At 41.6% G+C, this 24993-nt stretch overlaps 3 protein-coding genes across 8 annotated transcripts in view, besides 5 other annotated features; 1 reads left to right on the top strand and 2 right to left on the bottom strand.

The window, feature by feature from the left end:
- The window catches only part of TRIM5 (tripartite motif containing 5), a 96440-nt gene that overhangs the window by 40609 nt on the left and 30838 nt on the right, over positions 1-24993 (top strand). The window lies entirely within an intron of this gene.
- TRIM34 (tripartite motif containing 34) lies at positions 68-24522 on the bottom strand. 3 transcript variants are annotated; one of them, NM_001003827.1, is made up of 8 exons: positions 24443-24522; positions 11712-12211; positions 10567-10662; positions 9605-9835; positions 3277-3299; positions 1960-2060; positions 1623-1649; positions 68-1322 (listed from the first exon to the last, which is right to left on the bottom strand). In NM_001003827.1, exons 2-8 carry the CDS (start codon positions 12132-12134, stop codon positions 757-759), a joined length of 1467 nt encoding a protein of 488 aa, NP_001003827.1. In that variant the 5' UTR covers positions 12135-12211; positions 24443-24522; the 3' UTR covers positions 68-756. The 3 variants fall into 3 exon arrangements, with proteins under 3 accessions (NP_001003827.1, NP_067629.2, NP_569074.2); NM_021616.6 differs by lacking the exon at positions 24443-24522 and adding an exon at positions 19406-19465; NM_130390.2 differs by lacking the exons at positions 68-1322; positions 1623-1649; positions 1960-2060; positions 24443-24522 and having other exon boundaries at positions 3168-3299.
- TRIM6-TRIM34 (TRIM6-TRIM34 readthrough) overlaps positions 68-24993 on the bottom strand; it is a 47762-nt gene continuing 22836 nt past the window's right edge. The window contains exons 8-14 of the mRNA NM_001003819.4: positions 11712-12211; positions 10567-10662; positions 9605-9835; positions 3277-3299; positions 1960-2060; positions 1623-1649; positions 68-1322 (exon numbers count right to left, since the gene is read on the bottom strand). Of these exons, the coding sequence (NP_001003819.1) occupies positions 757-1322; positions 1623-1649; positions 1960-2060; positions 3277-3299; positions 9605-9835; positions 10567-10662; positions 11712-12211 (1544 nt within the window). The 3' untranslated portion in view covers positions 68-756. The remainder of the gene's footprint in view (positions 1323-1622; positions 1650-1959; positions 2061-3276; positions 3300-9604; positions 9836-10566; positions 10663-11711; positions 12212-24993) is intronic.
- Positions 12050-12289: an enhancer, noted in NCBI's record as "active region_4330". NCBI's record gives its function as "activates an Ori minimal core promoter by ATAC-STARR-seq in GM12878 lymphoblastoid cells {active_cell/tissue: GM12878}" and the evidence as "EXISTENCE:reporter gene assay evidence [ECO:0000049][PMID:35858748]".
- Positions 18947-19046: an enhancer, noted in NCBI's record as "active region_4329". NCBI's record gives its function as "activates an Ori minimal core promoter by ATAC-STARR-seq in GM12878 lymphoblastoid cells {active_cell/tissue: GM12878}" and the evidence as "EXISTENCE:reporter gene assay evidence [ECO:0000049][PMID:35858748]".
- Positions 19417-19686: an enhancer, noted in NCBI's record as "active region_4328". NCBI's record gives its function as "activates an Ori minimal core promoter by ATAC-STARR-seq in GM12878 lymphoblastoid cells {active_cell/tissue: GM12878}" and the evidence as "EXISTENCE:reporter gene assay evidence [ECO:0000049][PMID:35858748]".
- Positions 19777-19856: an enhancer, noted in NCBI's record as "active region_4327". NCBI's record gives its function as "activates an Ori minimal core promoter by ATAC-STARR-seq in GM12878 lymphoblastoid cells {active_cell/tissue: GM12878}" and the evidence as "EXISTENCE:reporter gene assay evidence [ECO:0000049][PMID:35858748]".
- Positions 22425-23033: an enhancer, noted in NCBI's record as "NANOG hESC enhancer chr11:5642663-5643271 (GRCh37/hg19 assembly coordinates)". NCBI's record gives its function as "activates a minimal SCP1, AML or CMV promoter by ChIP-STARR-seq in naive H9 embryonic stem cells {active_cell/tissue: H9 hESC(naive)}" and the evidence as "EXISTENCE:reporter gene assay evidence [ECO:0000049][PMID:30033119]".

Raw genomic sequence — 24993 nt, 5'->3', positions numbered from 1 at the left:
GTAAAATCAACTACTATTCCTCTGAAGGCCACAAAACTATTGCACAGGACATTACTACAGCTCACACTTTTTAGCAATCATGAGAGCAAATATTTATTATGTTCCAGACACTAAATCGATGCATTACATTTAGAGACACTTAGTTTTACACAGTGATCTTAATAGTTAGGTACAGTCTTAAATCCCAATTTATATTTCAGGAAAAAGAAACTGAGAAAGTATTCATCATGATTAGAAAACAACAGGCAAGGTTTGAGCTCAAATACTCTGGACATAAAATCTTCACTCTGAATACACATATTGCTCATATTTTCCTCTCCTTGATTCCTTGATGTACCTGGGGTATCCTGAGCAACACACTGACATACCCTCCAAGAACCTTTAGTTGATGTTGGTGGTGGTCATGGGGGTGGTTCCTATGGACTACCTAGGTAGCATGGATGGTGGCTAACAGGCTTTGGGCCTCTTCATATCAGTGATAAAGTGAAACATGGATAAATGGGAAGGCAAGGATGTTATACCCATACTGCTGTGTCTTTAGGAGGGATTAGGTAACTTTCTCTGAAAATATGAAAAAGAGTAAATGAATAAATAAGCATCTCTCATAACTCAAGCCAAATACACCATACATCTCAAGGATGAGTAAAAGTTCTAAAGAAGGGAAACCACAAGGAAGCAATGGTGTGAATGTTGCAGATGAGTCAGTTGCAGGAGATAAGTCAAGACAAAGGGTTGTAGGTGAAGAAATGAGAAAATTCAAGAGCTTGGTGGGCATAGAGTCATGGGAGCTGGACAGTTCCAAGGATTGAAATATGGATAAACAGGCTGAGAAAAGCAACATTTAGAGAACTTGTAAATGAGGGAGCCATGGCTTGTGACATTGAAAAATGAGACAATGCCTGCTTCATAGTCGAGGAAAACCCCAACACGGCAGGGAGGCACAGCCATGGAGAGAGTCAAAACCTCGGGATCAGAGGACAAAGACTCTTCAAAGACACCATACTTACATTTATTCTGTAACCCTATAACCCAGTAGCCAAATAGAGGTCTGTATTTGGTGTAAAGATTTTGACGATTTGCACATCTTCTAACAACATACTTCATATGGCGGGAATATGTTCTACAGTATACCCCCAGGATCCAGGCAGTTTTCTTGGACACGTCCACTTCCCAGTAATGTTTCCCAGAGGAGAAATATTGGGATCCCAAGACACCATAATTATAACACTGAAAAGGCCAAATTGGCACAGATATCACTTGTCTCTGATCTTCTGAAAGGACAAGATTCAAATTTAGGTTGACTGAATTCAGTGTGACATCCACTGCAAGAAAAAAAAAAATATATATATATGTATATGAATATAATCATCTGTGTGATATATATGATTAGGTGACAGATATGGAGTAGGTTTATCTAGTGACATGGTGATGAACGAACTTGGGAAGTGACTGAAAAACTTGCACTGATGAATTGGAGGGGTAAAACACTGGAGAAATGTATTTAGCAAATGTTTTGGGAGGTGCTGAGAATGCATGAGGCTAAGATCAGAAGATATCATTGAAACCATAAACTTCTGAAAGGTAATTGGAAAACAGTTATTTAAAGACTAACTTTTTCTTACCCCAGTAGCACCGGACAGCTGTCAGTTCTGAAATAATAAAAGATTCAGTGATGCTGATTAGAAACAAAGGAGTAAGCACTGATACCTATATATTCTTTAGAGTAGGGACAGGGGAAGGGAATACCATGAAGCTGTGAGCTAGTGAATTAAAAAGATAAACCAGAGACCTAGCCATTTTTCCTTACATATAAATGCATCCTCTTCACCACAGAATATTCCTTATTCTCTGACCTCCCTCCTCTCTTCTGTCCTCAATTTTAAGTTATCCCACCTAGACAGTTTATTACCTGACACCACAACAATCCCACATCCACAGTCTTTGTCTGCTTCTCCTCACCTCTAAACATTTGCAGCATCCTACTCAGATCTGGAGCATGGAATACAGTCTTCAGTTTCTTGGAAACCATTTTTGGCTTTTTCAGCCTCCAGATCTCACTCCTAGGGATGAAAAAAATTTTTTGACCCCCACATCTCTCATCCTGTGTCCATCCCTCCCACATCACTGGTTTCATCTCCTTCACATCACTGATGCACTTGAACCCTTCTCCCTGAGCCTGAGGAGGGGGAGAAGGGAGAGCCGGACCCTGGATCCAGAAGAAATGTGACTGTGTCTACTTTCCCTCTTATCCTCTGGGTGACCTTGAGAAGGTCTTCATTTCTTGAAAGCACAGTTTCTTCCTTAAAAATGAAATAATTAAACCCTCCTTTGATATCTAATGGAAATAATAAAAAATTGGATAAAACGATAGGAAAAGACTTTGCTACCTGTAGAAATGGTATGTGATATGTGGAAAACTCACTGCATCTCAGTGGGCCTTCTGGGAGGGGCCAGAGATGTGGTATTCTGAGCTGTAGATCCTGACTGTGATACGGGGCTCTGTAGGGAAATCCTGTCAGCCTGTGCCCGAGTTCAAAGCCTGAACTCCAGTGGAATGGCGCATATTTGAGATTTCAGATTCCTGGGAAACACGAACACTCGGCAAAGGAGAAGTTATGACAACCTAACTAAAAATGGTTAGAATTTTATGTCTTTGTAAGAAACTTGATGTTTCCAAGTGGGTTGGCAATGGTAGACACAAGGAACAAGGACTACACTTTTCCATAGGAGCTTCTAAAGTGTGTGAACTGGCAGAGATTAATTATCATCACCAGAGTCACAGCTACCGTCCTGAGGCTCGAGTCTACTTTTGGAAATCTAAAGAGAACCTTGCATAATGATCCGGTACCTTCTATTTCTAAGTAAGCAAAGTACATATAAAGAAGCTGTCTCCATGCCCTATTTTAGGATTTGACAAGGCCCTCCATGTGTATGACAAACACATATAAAATAAAAGATCCAGGGCTGGATGCAGGGACAGAGGATGAATTAAATGAGTGAAGTCACCGAAGTCTGACAGTAAAAGCTCTCATCCTTAATATCCTTTTTGGCTGTAGCTCTGAACTTCAACCACTGAATTTACTAACATAGGATCGAGTCCATTAATAGTTACGGAACACTCAAATACTCATCGGGGACCAGCAATTTAAGATAACGATACATCCAAATTTTACTACTCTGGGAGATTTTTTATTCCAATTGACCACCAAATAACTCTAATAGCTACAAACACTTCTTTATAACTCACAAGCACCACTCCTGGCCACCCATACGCACCATTTCATGATTCCACTCATGTCCTAGAAAGAAAAGAGAAAACATGAGTCAAAGTGTATAAAGACTGGTGTAAGACTAATGAAAGAAAGAAGAACAGTAGGAAAAAAAATGGAAAAATCAGAAGTGAGTTATATGAAAATGTCAACAAAATTGGCAAACATTTAGCTAGACACACCAAGAAAAAAAATCAGGAATGAAAGATGGGATATTACTACTGACCTTAAGGAAATTAAAAGGATTATAAAATGAGCAACTGTATGCCAACAAATTAGATAATCTTAATGAAACAGACAAATTCCTAGAAATACAGAAACTATCAATACACATTAAAGAACGCATAGAAAATATGAATAGGCCTAAAACATGTTAAGAGATTAAGTTGGAATTCAAAGACTTCCTACAGAGAAAAGGCCTCACCCAGATGGCTTCACTGGCTAATTCTGCTAAAGGTTTAAAAAGAAATAATATCAAAACTTCATAAGTTATTTCAAAAATAAAGAAGAGCAGGGAACACTTCCTAATTGATTACATGAGGCTCATCCTACCCTGATAAAGGACCCTGATAAAAGAACCAAAGACATCACAAGAAAAGAAAACCATAGACCAATATCTCTTATAAATATAAATACAAAATTCTTCAACAAAAATACAAGAAAATCAAATCTGGCAATCCAGCAAAAAGATTATACCTGATGGCCAAGTAGAATTTATCCCAGAAATGCAAGGTTGGTTCAACATAAAAAAAAATCAATTGATGTAATATACCATATTAATAAAATAAAGGATGAAAACCACATGATGATCTCAATAGACATGAAAAAAAGCATTCAGCAAAATTCAGCACACTTTCATAAAAAAAACAAAACAAAACAGGAATGGTAACAAACTTGGAATAGAAGAGAGGTCCCTCAGCCTGATAAAACACATCTATGAAAAACCTACAGCTAACATCATACTTTGTGGTGAAAAACTGAATGCTTTTTCCCGAAGATCAGAAAAGACAAGGATGTTTGCTCTCACTACTTCTATTTAACATGGTATTGGAGGTTCTAGTCAGGGCAGTTAGTCACAGAAAACAAATAAAAGGCTCTATGTTGGCAGTTAGATAGAATGAATAAGATTTAGTATTTGATACCACAACAGTGTGACTATAGTCAACAATAATTTATTATGCATTTAAAATAATTAAAATAGTATAATCTGAATGTTGGCAACACAAACAAATGATAAATGCTTGAGGTGATGGATACATCATTTACTCTGATGTACTGATGTAATTATTATGCATTGTATACCTGTGCCAAAATCTATGTACCCTATAAATATGTATACTTATTAAGTACCAATAAAAACTAATTTTTAAAAAAGCTTCTATATTGGAAAGAAAATAGTAAATCTCTCTCTTTTTACAGATGACATAGTCTTATGTACAGTCAGAAAAGTCCTGTTCTATCCACCGCCTATAGGCAACCTCTTCCAATCTTTTTTTTTTTTTTTTTTTTTTTTTTTTGAAATAGAGTCTCACTCTGTCACCCAGGCTGGAGTGCAGTGGTGCGAACTTGGCTCGCTGCAACCTCCACCTCCCCGGTTCAAGCGATTCTTCTGCCTCAGCCTCCCAAGTACCTGGGACTACAGGTACGTGCCACCATGCCCGGCTAATTTTTAATATTTTTAGTAGAGACGGGGTTTCACTGTGTTAGCCAAGATGGTCTTGATCTCCTGACCTCATGATCCGCCCTCTTCGGTCTCCCAAAGTGCTGGGATTACAGGTGTGAGCCACCGCGCCTGGCCTCCAATCTTAATTTTAGCTCACACATAGGTGCTGTTTTTTGTCAACCTTTATATCTAATCATTGTCTTTTGTCTGTAATCATGTTTCTATAATACTGTGGCAGGTCAGGTTTCCATTAGCAACCAGAACAATCAGTTTCCCTTAACCCTTTACTATAATTTTGATGAATGCGTAAGTTAAACATTAAAGAACTGGAAAAGCTGGTGCCTGAGTGAGTACCAGGGCTGAAATGTGAAAACAAACCCTTTAAAGACCCTGCCTGGGTTTTCTCATACCTTAAAGTCTGATCGAATAATAAAAGCATTCTTAGACATACAACTTGTACCAGGGCCCATTTAAGATTAAGAAACTTTCCAAGACTCTAGAGAAAGCTTTCTAGACCCCAGACCCTAGTTAAAGATAGATATAGATTGAAACACTCCTGCATGTAGGTGCACTCCCACGTGAAGGCATAGAGCTTAAAATGTATATAAGCACCAGAAAAAAAAAACTTTGTAACTCTGAGTTGGTCTGATAGTTACTCTGACCTTCTCCCTGTAACCAGTTGCAAAAATAAACTCCCTTCTTTTCCAAGTCTGTCTGCATCTCATTGGACTGTGAAAAAAAGCAGCTAGACTTCATTCTGTACAGGTACAATACTACATTCCACAAAGAAGAAAAAACGGCACCAGTAACTAAGAATATCTAAAACATAAGCTGTTCTCCAGCCATATTGTTTCCTTTCTTATGCCGTATTGTCAAACTGGTATCAATATTCACTCAGTCCCTGTCCCAGACACTAAAACATTTTATCAAGCCAGTCCATCCTTAACTTCTGTTAGTCATCTGCATTCCCCCATCATCACCACTGTGGGTTAATTTGTTTTGAGCAAGATGTACCAATATATTTGGCTTTAACTCTTTCATGACACCAGCTGGTGTACAACCAAATAAATGGTTTTGCTCTCTGTATTAGCATAGTTTTGTTGTTCAACAACTAAAATTGCCTTAACTGGGAAGAAAGTAAGGGTTGTGGCCAGAGAGGTATTACTTTAGTCACAGATGGCTCTGGAAGCTCAAACCTCTGTCACAATTCTGGCCTCTCTGTGCCTATTAATTCTCATTTCTTCCCTATATTTTGACTGTATTCTCAGATTTTAGTTGATAGCAACTTGAATCTCTTTATTTGAATTATCTTCACTGATATTATTTTCTGCTAAAAAGGAGAACTTCCCTTCACTGCAATGACAGTACAATTTTGTCACCCACAAGCATTCAGGATTGGGTCAGATGTCCAACTTAAAATAATCACTGTGTGGCTGGTAGGGATGTAAGGATTGGATACGCTGATTTACATATAATTAACTCATTCATTCTTGATAGTGCTGATTTTCTCAGGTCTAAACAAGTACAAGGATGGAAATAGACATGCTAGTCTTTCTTGCAAGAGTAATTCCAGGTGTTATTACCAGAAAAATGGGGAATGGATATTGACGAAACAAAAATAATGAGTACCATGTAGCCCAAACCCTAGCATTATGCAACAGACCCTTATAAGAAACCTGTAGGACAAATATTCTATGATTCCACTTACATGAGGTACTTAGAATAGGCAAAGTCATAGAGACAGAAAGTAGAATAGTGGTTATCAAAGTAGAGCAGTGGTGACCAAAGGGAATGGGGAGCTGTTTTTTAATGGGTACAGTTTCAGTTTGGGATGGTGAAAAAGTCCAGAGAGGGATCCCACTTAATGGTTGCACAGCAATCTGAATGTACTAAATGCCATGGAATTGAATGTGCCCCCTGAATCTAAAATTTTAAGAAACCTGGAAAAAAAATTTTAAATAATAGTAACTGCCATCTTCTTTCCCTCATTTAGCTACCTACCATTCCATCCTTTCAAAAATAAAAATGGCCAAATATAATAAAACTATTACAGAAAGCATTAAAAATCAAAGTATCTCCTTTATAAGGGAAACAACCTAAAATCTCATCTAATTTTTGCATCAGTTTTCAAGTTGAGCGTCTTTCTGTCTAGATCGTTCTTTGGCAGTAAGTGTTGAATGCAGCTCTTACGAAATGAGTATCAGTCCCTCTAGCAAACAAACAATGGATATATGATAACACCATCCATCCCGATCGCCATCATGAGAATCCATATAGAAAGAAAGCTGTTACAGGGACTCTCAGGAGATGGGATTGTGGAGGAGACATACCACAAATACAACAGCACATATCTTTTTTTTTTAGACTGAGTCTCGCTCTGTCGCCCAGGCTGGAGTGCAGTGGCGCCATCTTGGCTCACTGCAAGCTCCGCCTCCTGGGTTCACACCATTCTCCTGCCTCAGCCTCCTGAGTAGCTGGGACTACAGGCAGCCGCCATCACCAGCTAATTTTTTGTATATTATAAAATGCCCGGCTAATTTTTTGTATTTTTAGTAGAGACGGGGTTTCACTGTGTTAGCCAGGATGATCTCGATCTCCTGACCTCGTGATCCACCCACCTCGGCCTCCCAAAGTGCTGGGATTACAGGCGTGAGCCACCGCGCCCCGCCAACAGATTATATCTTAACATATTGGAGAGGAATAGCCAAAGTCCCTACTCAGATAAAAGAATAAGTTCCTAAGTTTTCCATTTGCCATTCTTTGAAGCTAACATCTAGAAGTGAAATGTTAATCCCACAGCATTTATAATTTTTGATCTACCAATATTTTTTTAAATTCCAAGTGACCAAATAGCAACTAAGACTGACTGAAATAGGACAAATGCCTGGACAAATGACATAAACACAGTGTTCTTTTGTGAAGGTGGCGATTCAAAGGGTTGTGAAGAGCTTAAGGAAGAACCATAAAAAAGGGCCTACGGAACCTTTTTGTTTTTGTTTTTACTGAGATGTAGTTCAAATACCATAAGATTTGCCCTTTACAGTGCACAATTTAACAGGCTTTAAAATATTCACGATGTAGTGCAACCGTCATTGCACAGTAAATCCAGATCATTTTCATCACTACAAATAGAAATTGTACACTAATTAGCAATTACTTCCTATTCTTCCCCAGAGCTCTGGCAACCACTAATCTAGTTTCTATATTACGGATTTGCTACTTACAGACTTTCATATAAATGGAATCATACAAAAAAGAACTTGTGTTTGCCTTCTTTCAATTATAATGTTTTCAAGGTGCATCCATGTCATAGCATGTATTATTAATTCATTATTTTTCACAGCTAAACAATATTACATTGTTTGGATATAACACATTTTGCTTATCCAATCATCAGTTTAAGGAGATACGAGTTGTTTTATTTATGAACAATACTGCTGTGAACTTTCATATATAAGTTTATGCACAAATATATGTATTCAGTTCTTCTAGGTATATAGGTAGGAATGGAATGGCTAGGCCACATGAGAACTCTCTTTACATTTCTGAGCAACTGCCAAGCAGTTTTTCCTAAGTAGCTTTACTATTTTACATCTCTACTAGCAATTCAAGAAGGTTTCAATTTCTTCACATCTTCCCAAACACTTGGTATTGTCCATCTTTTTTTATTATAGCCATACTAATGAGTGTAAAATACGTTTAGGAACCTCTGTTCCAGAGTAATCTTAAATTTAAACAAAAAAAGAAGACAAAAGGAAAAAGGAATTTAAAAAAAGCTGGGATATAAGCACCAGAGACAAAGCAAACAATTCAACAAATGAAAATCAGTTACTCTCCTGCTTCGTTCCAAATCTTAAAAAGGAAATATTTGGAAATTCAGCAAAGAAAGGAGAGCACTGTCTGTCTATATATTTGTCCATCTTTCTCCCCAAAAGGCTCAATATTCTATCACTTTATGTTTAAAAAAAAGTAACAGGGGGCTGGGTGCGGTGGGTCAGGCCTGTAATCCCAGCATTTTGGAAGGCCGAGGCAGGCGGACCACGAGGTCAGGAGATTAATACCATACTGGCTAGCACGGTGAAACCCCATGTTTACTAAAAATACAAAAAAAATTAGCCAGACGTGGTGGTGGGTGCCTGTAGTCCCAGCTACTCGGGATGCTGGGCAGGAGAATGGCGTGAACCTGGGAGGCGGAGCTTGCAGTGAGCCGAGATCGCACCACTGCACTCCAGCCTGGGAGACAGAGCGAGACTCCGTCTCAAAAAAAAAAAAAAAAAAATTAACAGGGAACATTTGCATAACAAATAAGCATATTTTAAACTTAAATAGAACACATTTCTTAAATGTGTATGCTCTTAAACCTGAAAATGCATGTGTTTACCTGTGACTAACCAGAGTAAAGAGAAGTCTGATGAATGCTTGACACTAGATCACATATAATAGGGGCCTAGAGACTATAACTAGATATAATGGATCTTTTCTGCAAGGTAAAATGTATTCCCTTACTTCATAAATTAATAAAAATGTCATTCATGTCCATGACATCTAGAATGGACGACAAGGCGGCACTGCAAGGCCAAAGAAACCCCTTAGTGTCACCACCAGGATGAGAACGCAAGGACACAGGAGGGAACTGTGTTCCCAGAATCTCAGATTGAGCGAACCTTCTTACCTGCAGCAGCTCCATTGTTGACCACTGACTCCGACACTCCACATCTGAGATGAGCTCTCTCACCAACTGCTTCTGCTGAACTAGCTCATCCTCAGCCTCTGCAAACTTATCCAGCGTCTTCTTTTCTTCTTCTTCCAATCTTTGCAGCTCTCTCTGCTCCTCATTATTTAGGATGCTTCTAAGCTGATCAAATTCTGTTTGTATCCTTTGTCTCTCAGTTTGTACCTGATACTGCAAGGATGGACAAGAGAGAGTTGTAGTAAGTTTGTCAGGCTAAGGCCTATTGTGCAAGGGATTAGGAGCCAGTAGGGAAATATATATATATATATATGTGTGTGTGTGTGTGTGTGTGTGTGTGTGTGTGTGTGTATTTATATTATCTGTATATATATATTTGTATTATCTATATATCGATTTTTTTTTTCAGGGAGTTCAAATCAGCAAGGGAGTAGAAGCAATAGAGGTACTTGGAGGGAAGCTATTTTTTCCTACTATTTTCCTTTCAGTACCTACCAAAACAATGACCTCAAACTGTCTTATCTAGGCCAACCCTGAGACAAAATATAAAACATAAGGCTTAGCTTCTAGATAGCTTTCCTGGATATTCATGACTGCCTGCCTTACCACACTCCTAATTTGAATCTTGAGGAAAACCATAGTCCTTTATGTAGTGTCTTCCACCAGAAGTAGTAGAGCCCCGTTGGAAAAGAGCAATGGAACACAGTATTTGCTAGCCTTCCTCATCATAGAGTCTATCTTTGTGCTCAGTTCCAGGTATGTATGTGTAATTGTAACATGTCCACTTTCTAGCCTCCACCCCCAACAGGGACAGGACAGAGAAGAGAACTAATCAAATGGCTTCAGGACTCATGCAATGTCAAGGAATAAAAAGGACGAGGCCTCCTTGGATTAAGGTCCTGTCAAGATTCCTGTCTCAGAAAACCTTCAGAATCTCCTCTTGCCTTCCAGGAAGTTTTCTCTTCTCTGATGTCAGCTTCCAGCTTCTCAGCTTCCTCCTCTTCCTTCTTCAGCCTCTTGAGGACTGCCTGGAGTTTCTCCTATGAGAAGGGAATCACACTACAGTCAAGCTATAAGCTTTCTTAGTATCTGGATAGAGGACAAACAGGGAAAAAATCAAGTTGATCCCAGAAAAAAGCAATTTACAGAAACTGTGAAGCTGGTGATTAGAATCTATGACATGGGGAAAATTTTGAGGAGATGAATGTATTGTTCATTCATTGTGATGAAAATCAATACCCCTCAAAAGGAGTAGCCTGATTCTGTCTTTCCTTAGAGTAAGTATTTACCCTGCAGAAAGTCCTTTCCTCTTATCAATGCTCTTTCCTCATTCAATCCACAATGTTCCTTAGCAATTATCCTGCTTAGAGAAGCAAGAGAGCTAACTTTGGGAAGGAATTTATCACTTATACAATGAAAAAGGAAAAAACAAGACAAAAATTTCTCATTCTTGGCTAAGAGACTGTACTCTAGGATCATCTGTTATGTAAATGAAAGGAATACACAAGAGTGTACCCCAGGCATTGGAAGCTGAGCACAGTGTGAAAGATGTACATGGAGAAGATCACGGGACTCAGAATTATGGTTCCACAGGGGGTAAAGAAGGATGAAAAGGGCTGACTCCTTTTTCAGACTCAGTCCGCCTGCACCCAGGTGATTAAAAAGCTTTATTGCTCACAAAAAAAAAAAAAAAAAAAGAAAGAAAAGGCCGGGCATGGTGGCTCACACCTGTAATCCCAGCACTTTGGGAGGCCGAGGTGGGTGGATCACAAGATTAGGAGTTCAAGACCAGCCTGGCCAAGATGGTGAAATCCCGTCTCTACTAAAAATCCAAAAAAAAAAAAAAAAAATTAGCCAGGCGCGGTGGCAGGCGCCTGTAATCCGAGCTACTTGGGAGGCTGAGGCAGGAAAATTACTTGAACTCAGAGGGCAGAGGTTGCAGTGAGCCGAGAGCACGCCACTGCACTCCAGCCTGGGCGACAGAGTGAGACTCTGTCTCAAAAAAAAAAAAAAAAAAAAAAGGATGAAAAGGTGAGATTTTCCACCAACTACCATCTTCTGCCCCATCTCCCTCCATCTAGGGCCCTACCTGACATTCCTTGAATACTTCCTCCGTGAGGACTGTGTGGTGACCACGGTGCTCCTGAGACCGCTCACAAAGCCAGCAAATGACTTTCCTATCCTCCTTACAGAAGAGTAGGAGTTTCTCTCCATGATGATCACAGAGATCTCTCTTCTTCCCATTGTCTGGGCTCAACTTGACCTCCTTGAGTCTCTCCACTATGTTGGCCAGATGCTGATTAGCCTGTAGATGTTCAAATGAGTAACTGATACCACACACAGGACAGCTGCTTTTTCCTCCCATGCTGGTCACTGCCTCCTTGTTGCTCACAGTGATGCAGGCTCGGCAGAGGCTGTGGCCACAGTCTAGACTCAAGGGTTCTGTCAACAGCTCCAGGCAGATGGGACAGGTCACCTCCTCTTGTACGTTAAGCAAGATTTTTGAAGCCATTGCACTGCTTCCCTGGCTTCTTCTGGTCCTAACTCCTGAGGCTCTCCTCTCTCTTCTGGTTAAAGACCCCTGGATGGCTGAGAAGATTGAAAGGGGATGGTATAAGAATGGTACAAATAAAAAGCATTCTAATTGCACAGACAATAAAGACTGGCCGAGACTGCAATATCAAAGAACAAAGAAGATGAGGAAGAGAAACCAAAAATGGCTGAAAGTGGTCTGGGCGAGCTGTTAATGCCTCAAGGCTTTTGCACTTGTTCATTACTCAGCCTAGAATTACCATCCTGTTGCTATTTGCATGACTTTCGTTTATACTTTTTTCAACTTTCTCCTTACATGTCCCTTCATCAGAAGGGCTGCTAAGACAAACTTAAGTACAGCACAACCACAAACTCATCATTCAGTGTACATTTGCCATCTTTCTTTTATTATCATTATCTATTTTTAAATGTCCACCTCTTCTTTCTAAAACATAATCTACATGTAGATTAGGCACTTTTGTCTTTTTACTGCTATAGCCTCAGTGTTTAGAACACAGAGAAGCACAATGTTTGATAAACATATAAAAAAAACTTCCCTGTCTCTCCACAGATGACTAAAACTTTATCATTGTTTCATTATCTTCCTTCCATTATTTGGAAATTCTTCAATAGCTGAACTTTAGAACCCCAGATGTGGTTTCCAGTGAAGAAGTGCTCGCCTCCTAACACATCTACCCACACAAAATCCTCCCATGCCCTCACAGACTTTCCAGAGATACCGACAGAAACAGCAATGACCACAATATGGAGATTTCATTACCAGTTACAATTTAAAAATCACTTTGGCCTGTTTGTTCCTCCTTCCAAAATTCTTGAGAAATAAGAGTACTCCCTTTCTTCAGATGAATAAATAAAATTAAATGATTTACAAAGATCACCCAATTCGATGGTAGAATTGGAGTGAACATAATACCCTCAGAGTTCTCTTTCAGAGGTCTCCATGCTACTCCACTTATTTAAACAAAGAAAAGCCGAGGTAAAGCCTGAAAGAAGTAGATTGGGATCCAGGGTTATGAGAGTGTAGAAATGGAGGAAACCACATAAGTTGGGAATTTCTGGGGGGGTCTTGTGTTTGTAGATGGTAGGATTTCTTCTTGGCCTGAAGGATGTTACAGAGGTTGATAGGAACCCAAAGGTGTGTATTCGTTGGGGGAGGGGTGTAACCAGCTGAATTACACATAGATCACAGATTCATACCAATGTCAGATCATCGAGGAATAGAAATAGCAAGGAGATGGCTGTTGGCCATGAGAGAGATGTCCCAATACATAAAGGGAGACCACATTTAGGAGCGATGAAGTTCTGTCTGTGTTAAATCCACATCCACTAATTGAATGCCAATTATTCATGTGTTTATTTTGGAAATTCTCACTGAAGACATATTATCTTCCGTGATTAAAATTCAGGAAATGGATTAAAATCCAAAGTTGAGTAATGAACAGATGGTATTAGCCAGAATAAAGTAAACAGTCACCTAAGAAGATAGAAGCTAATTATATAATCATTCATAAAATGTAAAATGGTAGGTGTAAAAAACACCATCATAGAGAGGTATAGGTTTTTAGAAGACCAAATAATGTGCTAAATAGAGAACTATCCAAGATATCTTGCTTGGATAAGTAAGAGTTTAATGAAAGCTGAATAATGAGAAAGGAATACAGAATGAGAAAGAAAACAAATATTTTAGGCAGAAGGAATCATGGAAGTGAATGCCCCGTTCATGGAGGACATAGCATCATAACATGTTCGAAAGTTTTTAAATGTGTGGCTGATATGCAAAAAGCCCTAGGCCTTGGCCTCACATGAGCCTAGAGGAACCTGGATATGTGACACTTCCTAAATGAAGTAAAAGTGACAGTCTCTTTCCAATGAATAGGAGGTGGGGGCAGGGATGGGAGGATGCAGGACAAGTTAACAGAGAGAAGCAGATGAGGGTGGGAAGTAGGGTAAGGTAAAGGAAATAAGATTGGAAGTCAGACTAGACATGTGGGGGAAAAAAAGGTTATCATTAGGCTTAAGTCCTTTCTTCCTATAAAAAACACATCGCCATCACCATCCCCTGGTATATTATTTTATTTTTATTCTTTTTGGTAAGCACAGACCTCATTTTCCGTAAGAGGATTGAGACTCTTGTAACAAAATATTCTCTGTAGGGCCCTGGAAGCTATGTTCATGGTCTTTACAAGGGAATCAATCCGTTGATGTAAGATTTACCTAAGCTACGTTAGTTTCACACGCATCCACATGGTCACATGGTCTTGTACCACCGTAAGAATCCTCACTGAGGCCGGGCGCGGTGGCTCACCCCTGTAATCTCAGCACTTTGGGAGGCCGAGGCAGGCGGATCACGAGGTAAGGAGATCAAGACCATCCTGGCTAACAAGGTGAAACCCCATCTCTACTAAAAATACAAAAATTAGCCAGGGGTGGCGGCGGGCGCCTGTAGTCCCAGCTACTCGGGAGGCTAAGGCAGGAGAATGGCGTGAACCCGGGAGGCAGAGCTTCCAGTGAGCCGAGATCGCACCACTGCACTCCAGCCCGGGCGACAGAGCGAGACTCCGTCTCAAAAAACAAAACAAAACAAAAGAATCCTCACGGAGAGCTCACCTGAAGCGGCCCTGTCTGCATGCTATATCTCCTGTCCTGTATTCCCCCTGTGGAGTTAAGCTGCATGAGTGCAAATGGCAAAACAAACCTGCAATTATTGCTTGTGGTCAGCCAGAGGGTGTACCACAGAGTAGTGGCATGATGATACAATGCCAATTCTCAGAACCTGAGGTCAGTTTAGACAAGAAACTGTGAGGCAAAGGGAAAAAGGGTGGCTCTCAGTAGGCAGTAACATTTTGATACTTGTTCTAGTAGATAGATTTATACCCTCCACAAAAATTGTTCACTTATGTGAATGTGAACTTATTTGAAAATCACATCTTTGCAGGTGTAATCAAGTTAAGATGAGGTCATACTGGATAAAGACAGGCCCTAAATTCAATGACCTGTAGTTTTTGTTTTTTTTTGAGATGGAGTTTCGCTCTGTCGCCCAGGCTGGAATGCAATGGTACAATCTCAGCTCACTGCAACCCCCGCCTCCCAGGTTCAAGCGATTCTCCTGCCTCAGTCTCCTGAGTAGCTGGGATTACAGGTGTATGCCACCACGCCCAACTAATTTTTAGATTTTTAGTAGAGACGGGGTTTCACCATGTTGGCCATGCTGGTCTTGAACTCCTGACCTCAGGTGATCCACCTGTCTCGGCCTCCCAAAGTGCTGGGATTACAGGTGTGAGCCACTGCACCCGGCCTTGACCTGTGTTTTTATAAGAGGAGAAGACATACAGACACACGGGAAAGAAAGCCATGTGACAGTAGAGGCAGAGATGGGAATAGCACAGATATAAGCCAAAGAATGCCGAGGTTTGCTAGAAACCACCAGAAGCTAGGAGAGAGGAATAGAACCGATTTTCACATAGAGCCTTCTGAAAAAAAAAAATCAACTTTGCCGCCATCTTGGTTTTGGACTTCTGGGCTCCTGAGCTGTGATACAAATTCCTGTTGTTTTAAGTCATCTAGTTTGTGATAATTGGTTACAACAGTGCTAGGAAACTAATATAATTGAACAGGTTTGATAGTGAAAGAAAGATCTGTGATGTGTGACAACTTAGGAATCTTTCCCACGCTTGGCAAAAGGATGGGGTACAATAAAAGCTGTATGGAGATAAACCTAGGCCTCGAGACCTGTCTACTCCTCTAACCATCCATCAAAAGACCTTAAGGAGGAAAAAAAGCTGAAAGTTGACTGGCGAGTGTCATCCAGCCAATGGTACAGATACTAAAAATCATACAAAAGAGATATACTGGTAGCCCCTGGCTACAATGACCATTGGTCAGACCAGGATCTGATGACTAGTAAGACAAGGAGTTTATATGATATGATAATATTCACCCCTGTTTATGGCTAAAGCCATGAGCCAACCACAGATGTGGGGTTCTTTGTTATCTTTTATTCCAATCAGTATCCAACCAATAGTTAGAAATACCGGGGGGCTCCAGGAGAGGAAGTAGTAGAACATGCATTCTGCCACGGGCTGTGACTTCATGTTCACAGTGAGGATGCATGTTGATGCCAAAGCTGCTGCCACCATAATGGCAAAAGAATGAGAAAAGTGCAGAGTAACCACGGTCCCACGTGTGAGAAATGACCCCACCACTTCCCAGTGTGGCTCAAGCCCAGCAGCAGTCAGGGAGGTAGAGAAGGGAACATGAGTGCCATTGGCCTGACAGAACTCCCAGGTTACCTGGTTACCATAGCTGCCAGGTGATTATACCCTTCATTTGAGTCTTCTCCTAACATCTGGACTCCTAACATCTGGATATGATAATGCAAACTTTAAGTCTCTCTGCAGGTAGATAGTAAAATTAGAGTGTCTCTACGAGTGACTTTTAGGGGAGGATGTCTTTTGAAGTTTCTAGACAATATCCTAGACACTTCTTCTGGATTCTTGGTCAGAAACTGCCAATAAGGAAAGTAGAGCCTGTTTTGACATCCAGAGACCCTGAGAGCTCAGAAACATTGTAGCATCTCCTCCCCATTCCTCTGTGCACTGAGTTCTTGCTTCAGCTACTCCTTAGAGTCCAGGGCCCAATCTATACCACATTAATGACTCTCTCCCCAAGAGCTGTAGTGTTCTGGTCAATATATCTCCAAAAAGCTATTTTTTAACATAGAATCATTTTCATTAAGCAATCCCTAATGTCTTTTTCTGTCTGTTACTTCGTGAGAATATGCTGAAAGAGTTTTTTTTCAAATTAGTTTCCAACCACCTCAACTGCCACCACTCTGGTAGAAACCACCTGAATTCAGGAAATTGTTCTTCCACTAGTCTTGCTGATACTATCATTGCCCTTCCTTTTTTTTTGAGACGGAGTTTTGCTCTTGTTACCCAGGTTGGAGTGTGGTGGCATGATCTCGGCTCACTGCAACCTCTGCTTGCTGGGTTCAAGCGCTTCTCTTGCCTCAGCCTCCCGAGTAGCTGGGATTACAGGTGCCTGCCACAACGCCCAGCTAATTTTTGTATTTTTAGTAGAGAGAGTTTCACCATGTTGGCCAGGCTGGTCTCAAACTCATGATCCACCTCAGGTGATCCACCCGCCTTGGCCTCCCACAGTGCTGGGATTACAGGTGTGAGCTACTGTGCCCACCCATCACTGTCCTTCTTCACTCTGCTCTCATCTCTGTTCTTACATCAGTAGACAGAGTGATCACCTTAAAGCAGATGTCAATCATGTCACTCTCCTGTTCAAACCCATGCCACCCAGAGCGAGGCCAGACTTCATAATGGTCCAGTTAGGTCCACATCACACATGCCTTCCCACTGCCTCAATCCTCAGAGCTCACCATATTTTTTTTTTTTTTTGAGACAGAGTCTTGCTCTTTTCCCCCAGGCTGGAGTACAATGGCGAGATCTTGGCTCACTGCAACCTCCACCTCCTGGGTTCAACTGATTCTCCTGCCTCAGCCTCCCGAGTAGCTGGGACTACAGGCATCCGCCACCACACCCGGCTAATTTTTGCATTTTTTTAGTAGAGACACAGTTTCACCACATTGGCCAGGCTGGTCTTGAACTCCTGATCTCTGGTGATCTTCCTGCCTTGTCCTCCCTAAGTGCTGGGATTACAAGCGTGAACCACCGCGCCTGGTAAGAACTCACCTTTTATGCCTCTCCAGGCACACTCCCATCTTAATCTTCCACACTGTTCTCCTTTTAAGCCCGTGGGAAAAACCATTAAAGCCTTTAATTTCCTCGCATTCTTAAGATTCTACTCAAATGTGTTCTTACAATGAAAACTATTTAAAACTTTCATAAAAACTATTTAAAGTTGCAAGGCCTTCATGAGGTCTTTACAGAGTCATTACCCTAATGTAACTTCTTGAAGATGTTACTCCATAGTATTAGTCATCTTCTTGTGTACTCTAACATTCATCGATATGGTCTATGATCACTTTCTATTTGGATGTAGGCTTCCACGTATATTTCATATTTATTGAATGTTAAATGGATGCTAATTGCACGTTTTTACATTAGCAGCCTGCTTTATAATCAATTTTATCCCATATGTTGGGTCTTGTGCCTGACTAGACGCCTCTGGGAGACAGTCAGTATGTAGGCAGACATGGATTCTACCCAGGAGTAAGGCAGAGACACAGGATGGCAGTTACAGTGAACTCTGAAGGGTGAGAGCAGAGGCCAGAATGGCATGTGTCAGAATATCTGTAACATATCAATCAAGGTGCAAATTGCTCACAAGTGAGCTTAAGATAGGACATACTCTATATCAAATTCTTAACAAGAAGATTAAATCCGTGGGCTCCTTCTGAGCCCACAATGAACAACTTCTGTTAAGTAATTGTGAGCAAAGAAAAGCAATAACAAATTGAGGTTACAAATCAATGCCAAGGTGTGTCTAAGAGGAAGAATGATGAGGAGCAAGTTCTGAGACAGGTGAAGACGCTGGTAGCACATGGGTTACTGAAGTAAAAGTAAACAGGTATGTTCAGGGATGTGCAAGGAGAGCCCTGAGACCTGCAGAAAGACATAGGAACAGAGGGAACAGAGCGGTGTGCGGCAGTCACATCACTCAACCTGCTATTGTCAGGGAGGCCAAGGACTAAGAATACGTGAGGATGGCCACAGAAAGCCCCTTAGTGGTTGCCAGGAGGGCAGCAAAAGAACCCACTTCAACCCCTGGCCGTGCTCCCATGGCTCCATTCTATCTGACGCCACATACTAGGAGCTAAGCCCTGCACACACTTGGAAAACAGAGACCTCCTTTCACCAACTTCTCTTTTGAGGAGGGAGTAGGAGGTGGAAAATAAGAGATCTTCTGTTCATCTCTTTGAGAGAGAGAAAGAGAGAGAGAGAATTGTTTCCTTTGCAAGGTAGAAAATCAAAATTATACAATAGGAAGGGAATGGAAATAGATTCAGCCTGGAGGAAAAAAAGACACCCCAGAAAACAAAGGCGGCCTTCTGCCTCTTTAACACTGCTTTCAAGGCTGTCCCTCCCCAGACTCTAGGCTGCTATCAGTGTGCACTCAAAGCAGGAAGCCTGCAAGCTAGCCTTTGCTCCCGACAGAGCAGGGGAGACTTGGGGCCATAAATCAAATTCCCCTAACTTCACTGAGAACTTTTCTCCTGGAGTCTCATACCCTCTACCCCCCACAAACCTCCCCACACACCTTCAGAGCAACAGAAATCTCGGCTCCTGGTTGAAGAGGTGAAGAAAAGCCAGGGTGGGTGTGGTCAGGATTCATTCAACAAATGAGGTTCCTCTGTGTGAAGAAGTCCCTCCCTCCTGAGGAGGAACTGCCTGAGAAATGAAAGTGAAATTTTTGGGGCTGTCAGGAAGAGAAAAGGGGAAGGAGCGTCTAGGTGAAATGAGCTGTGTAGTCCTTTAGAGCCTCTGGACAGAAGGTAATGCTCTTAATCCAGTGATTCTCGAGGGCAGAATGGAGGATTTGCACTAGATGGCACATTTGGCAATGTCTGAAGAGATATTTGGTTGTTAACTAGGGGAATGCTACTGGCATCTTAGTGGGTACAGGTCACAGATGCCGCTAAGCATTCTACAATGTATGGGACAGTTCCCACAGCAAAGAATGATCCATTCCAAAACATCAATAGTGCTGTGTTTGAAAAGCCCTGTTTTAACCTTCCCTGCCTCCCAGGCCAGCTAAACACCCAACTCCCCTTCTCCTACCACTTTCATGGTTGCACATGGTCCCTCGAATCAGTTTACCAATTTGAATTATCCTTCAGCTCCAACGATCCACTTGTGTGCTACCTACCAAAGTACCATGTCACCCGCTAGGAGATGGAGGATGGGTGGCGGAGAGGTGGATGGTGCTGAGAAAAGTTGGCTACAAAGGACCTGGGGAACTTTTGGGAGTGTTGGAAATGCTCTAAATCTTTAAAAGGGGTAAAACTTTTTCAAAACTCATCAAACTGTGCACAGTAAATGGGTGCATATTATTGCATATAACATATATATCAGTAACATTATTTAAAAATGAAAAGTCTTCCAGGTAATTTTTACGCGAATCTGAGGCTGAGAACCACTAGTTGTAAGTAGTAAATCAGGAGTTTTGTGCCCTGGACAGAAAGGGCTGCTTTGAAACTGAGGTAACCTTGAAATCAAACCGAACGAGGAGGAAACTTGAACAAGAGTTGCCACTCGTTTGGTCACAGGATGACCCCACATTGTGCCTCCACAAACAGCATGCTCCATTTTCATGAGGAATATAAGTTGATAGATTCATTTTCTGTGCTGTATGCATCAAAACAATCCTAGTCTACCTCCTGTAGAGCACATTACATAATAAAAGGTGCCACCTTTGGAAACCACCTGACAAGGTACAATTTTCATTTTTGCCCTCTCCATCTGACTCATGCATGGTGATCAAGGACAATTATAAACTTGTTGGAAGTTTAACAACTTTCCCACAAAAATGTATCCACATCCAATACCTTGGGAATATGCTTTGACTACTTTTAAGGGAGTCAATTACTATCAGGTTAGTGCAAAAGTAATTGCGGCTTTTGAAATTAAAAGTATTATAAAGCCAACTGTGGTGGCTCACACCTGTAATCCCAGAACTTTGGGAGGTTGAGGCGGGCGGATCACAAGGTCAGGAGTTCGAGACCACCCTGGCTAACATGGTGAAACCCCCGTCTCTACTAAAATTACAAAAAAAAAAAAAAAAAATTAGCCGGGCATGGTGGCATGCGCCTGTAATCCCAGCTACTCAGGAGGCTGAGGCAGGAGAATTGCTTGAACCCGGGAGGCGGAGGTTGCAGTGAGCCGAGATCGCACCACTGCACTCCAGCCTGGGTGTCAGAGCAAGACTCTGTCTCAAAAAATAAAAAAATAAAAATAAACAAAATAAATAAAAGTATTATAATAGCAAGAACCGCAATTACTTTTGTACCAACCTAATACTTTCAGATTTCTTTTCCTTATTTCAATATTGGTAACTAATACATTTAGATAGTGTAAAAGGGAAGAAAATCTCGGGACCCAAAAATCACTAAGCCAAAGGGAAAAGTCAGGTTGAGAACTGGTTAGGGCAAACCTGGCTCCCATTCTATTCCAAAAAAAGACAGCTACTAAGATAAAAAAAAAAAAAAAAAAAAAGCTCCAGACAGAACTCAAAGTCACCCCTTTGCTCAGGTGAGATAAATGAATATCTGGTTACTTCCTTTGCCCTATTGCTTAATGCAACCTGTTTGTCTTTTATCTACCTATGACCTGGAAACCCCCTTCCGGACTCAGCTGTCCCGCCTTTGCGGACATATATTGATTGATGTCTCACATCTCCCTCAAATGTATAAAACCAAGCTGTGCCCTGACCACCTTGGGTACATGTTGTCAGGACCTCCTGAGGCTGTCATGGGTGCATCCTTAACCTTGGCAAAATAAACTTCCTAAATTGATTGAGAGTTTTCTCAGATACTCTTTCATTTACAATAGTAAAGCATCAGACAGATTTGTTAAAGCATGTGTTGAGATGTGTATATTACCTTAGCCCATCAGTTCTGTGTGGATGACATTCAATTTTTCATCATTCATTTTGTTCACTTGAGTTTTTTCCGGTTTTTTTTATTTGTTTGTTTGTTTTTTTGAGATGGAGTTTCGTTCTTGTCGCCCAGACTGGAGTGCAATGGCATGATCTTGGCTCACCGCAACCTCCGCCTCCCAGGTTCGATTCTCCTACCTCAGCCTCCTGAGTAGCTGGGATTACAGGCATGCGCCACCACGTCCAGCTAATTTTTCTTTTTTTCTTTTTTTTTTTTTTGAGAGGTAGTCTCGCTCTGTCGCCCAGGCTGGAGTGCAGTGGCGTGATCTCGGCTCACTACAAGCTCCGCCTGCCGGGTTCACGCCATTCTCCTTCCTCAGCCTCCCAAGTAGCCGGGACTACAGGCACCTGCCACAACGCCCGGCTAATTTTTTGTATTTTTAATAGAGGCAGGGTTTCACCATGTTGGCCAGGATGGTCTCAAACTCTTGACCTCATGATCTGCTTGCCTCGGCCTCCCGAAGTCCTGGGATTACAGGTGTGAGCCACCGCGCCCAGCTGAGTTTTTTCCTTTTTAAAAAACTCATTTCTCTGAGTTCAATGGACATGCAACTATGCTATGTCTTTAATGTCTTTTTGTTATTTTCTTAACAACTGTCTAGTCTGAACCCCGAAAATCTGAGACAGATCTCAGATAATATAGAAAGTTTATTTTACCAAGGCTGAAGACATGTGTCCCTGACAGCCTCAGGAGGTCCTGACAACATGTGCCCAAGGTGATCAGAGCACAACTTGGTTGTATACATTTTAGAGAGACATGAGACATCAATCAATAAATGTGAGATGTACATTGGTTCCATCTGAAAAGGCAGGACAACTCAAGCAGGGAGGGGGCTTCCAGGTCACAGGTTGGTGAAGGACAACCTGTTGCATTCTTTTGAGTTTCTGATTAGCCTTTTCAAAGGAGTCAATCAGATAGGCATTTATGTCAGTGAGCAGAGGGATGACTTTGAATAGAATGGGAGGCAGGTTTGCCCTAAGCAGTTCCCAGCTTGACTTTTCTATTTGGCCTAGTGATTTTGAAGCTCCAAGATTTATTTTCCTTTCATACTACCAACATATAATATATTAATGGTAGAAAAATCATCACTTTTGGAAACTCTTAGGCATTCTTCTGGTGCCTCACTCTCAGCTGAGCTGTGCTTCTGGATAGCAGAAATGACCTGGACAGAAAAATGAGCAAGTTTAGTCATTCAAGAATATGCAGCTATTTCCATGGGCATGTACTTAGAGCTCTATGTAAACAGGAGTGGCTAACAAGAGTTGGCAAGGGTCATATCCTCAAGGCTTGTTTACACAGGCAGAGAGAGCCAGCTGGGAAATTATCTAGAGACACCAGTGCAGGAGTAAAGTATCTGTCTTCTCAGATCCCTCTGGCTTTACTCACACCATTCTCCCAGGTCCCAAAGCCCTGAAAATGAAAGTCATAAATATCCCAAAAGAGTTACCTGGAATTTAAGAGAGTGCAGCAGCCTGGAGTGATCCAGAGCCTCGGGCATTGCAATAAAGGGGTGACTGGGATGCAGGGGTTAAAGGAAAATGGATAGAAGTGAATTTCCTCCAGTTGCTATGGATGAGTGCTGGAGATAGGAATGTGTGTCTACACATAGAGAAACTGCCTGTATCTAACTTGGAATCGCTTCCCCCACCAAAGGTCACCAAGATATGGGGACTAAAAATATTCTAGTAAAGCTGGGACCAGAACAGTAACTGCTTTACTAGTTTAGAAGCAGAGAAAGGATAGTTGGCAACAAAAATGCCAAAAGACACAGGGACTCTACCATATATACTATGTGAACACTGCACAGCAGCTTTTGCCTTGCTATCTCACTGTAGGAGCAGAACAGGCTTTGCTTCATTCCTGAGGTCTACCAGAGCCTCTCACTTAATGGAAAGAAGAAGCTAATCTGGAGGAAGAGAACACTGACAAACACCATTGCAGAGGGAGCCCATGACAGTACTTCTGCCCCTCCCACCGTAAGGCATAATGTGCACCCATAACCTGAAAAATGGAGACTTAGCTGGGCAGACAGAGAAAGTGATTTCCAAAGAAAGAGAATTACTACAGAAGTAGAAAAGAATACCAGGAACTTCCAGTTTTAGTTCCAACATGTAAAGAGCTTGAGACTCATTACTGCAACCCTCACAAGAGAAAAAAAGCTTGGCTGGACGCAGTGGCTCACTCCTGTAATCCCAGCACTATAGGAGGCTGAGGCGGGCGGATCACGAGTTCAGGAGTTAGAGTCCAGTCTGGCCAAGGAATTCGAGACCAATCTGGCCAACATGGTGAAACCCCGTCTCTACTAAAAATACAAAAGCTTAGCTGGGTGCAGTGGCGCGCGCCTGTAGTCCCAGTTACTTGGGAGGTTGAGGCAGGAGAATCCATAGAACCCAGGAGGCGGAGGTTGCAGTGAGCCGAGATCCCGCCGCCGCACTCCAGCCTGGGCGACAGAGTGAGACTCAGTCTCAACAAAAAAAAAAAAAAAAAAAAAAAAAGAAGAAAGAAAAGGAAAAAAAAGCTAAACCAACTAAAAATCAATGACTTTCCTAAGTCTCATCAGATAAAGTCACAGGAAAAAAACTGCCACCCCAAAATGTAGAGACAGGTAAACACAGAATAAACAGCCTAAATCTGCTTACCTGAAGCAGAAGTTGCATGAGTCAGGACGGGCGCAGTGGCTCACACCTGTAATCCCAGCACTTTGGGAGGCTGAGGCGGGTGGATCACTTGAGGTCAGGAGTTTGAGACCAGCCTGGCCAACATGTCGAAACCCTGTCTACAAAAATACAAAAATTAGCCGGGCATGGTGGTGGGCGCCTGTAATCCCAGTTACTCGGGAGGCTGAGACAGGAGGATCGCTTGAACCCAGGAGACAGAGGTTGCAGTGAGCCGAGATCACACCACTACTCTAGCCTGGGCAACAGAGTGAGGCTCAGTCTCAAAAAAAAAAAAAAAAAAAAAAAAAAAAAAAAAATTTAAAACAGGAGTTGCCTGAGTCATATACTGGTAGGAACACTTAAATAGTAGTTCTGACAAATTGCCGGAGGCTGATTATGGACTAGCTTGAGAGAGAGAAACTCCTAGCACCTAGACTTAGGGCCCCGCCCCCGCCCCACTTGCTTGGAATTTACCTCCAAAAACCAAAGTGAGTTCCCATAGTGGAAAGCCAAGAAAAAGATCCTTTCTTTTC

This window comes from Homo sapiens, chromosome 11 (genome assembly GCF_000001405.40).
Source record: "Homo sapiens chromosome 11, GRCh38.p14 Primary Assembly".
Lineage (NCBI taxonomy): Eukaryota > Metazoa > Chordata > Mammalia > Primates > Hominidae > Homo > Homo sapiens.
Note: the sequence above shows the minus strand (reverse complement) of the source record. Positions and strands in the feature narration are given on the sequence as shown.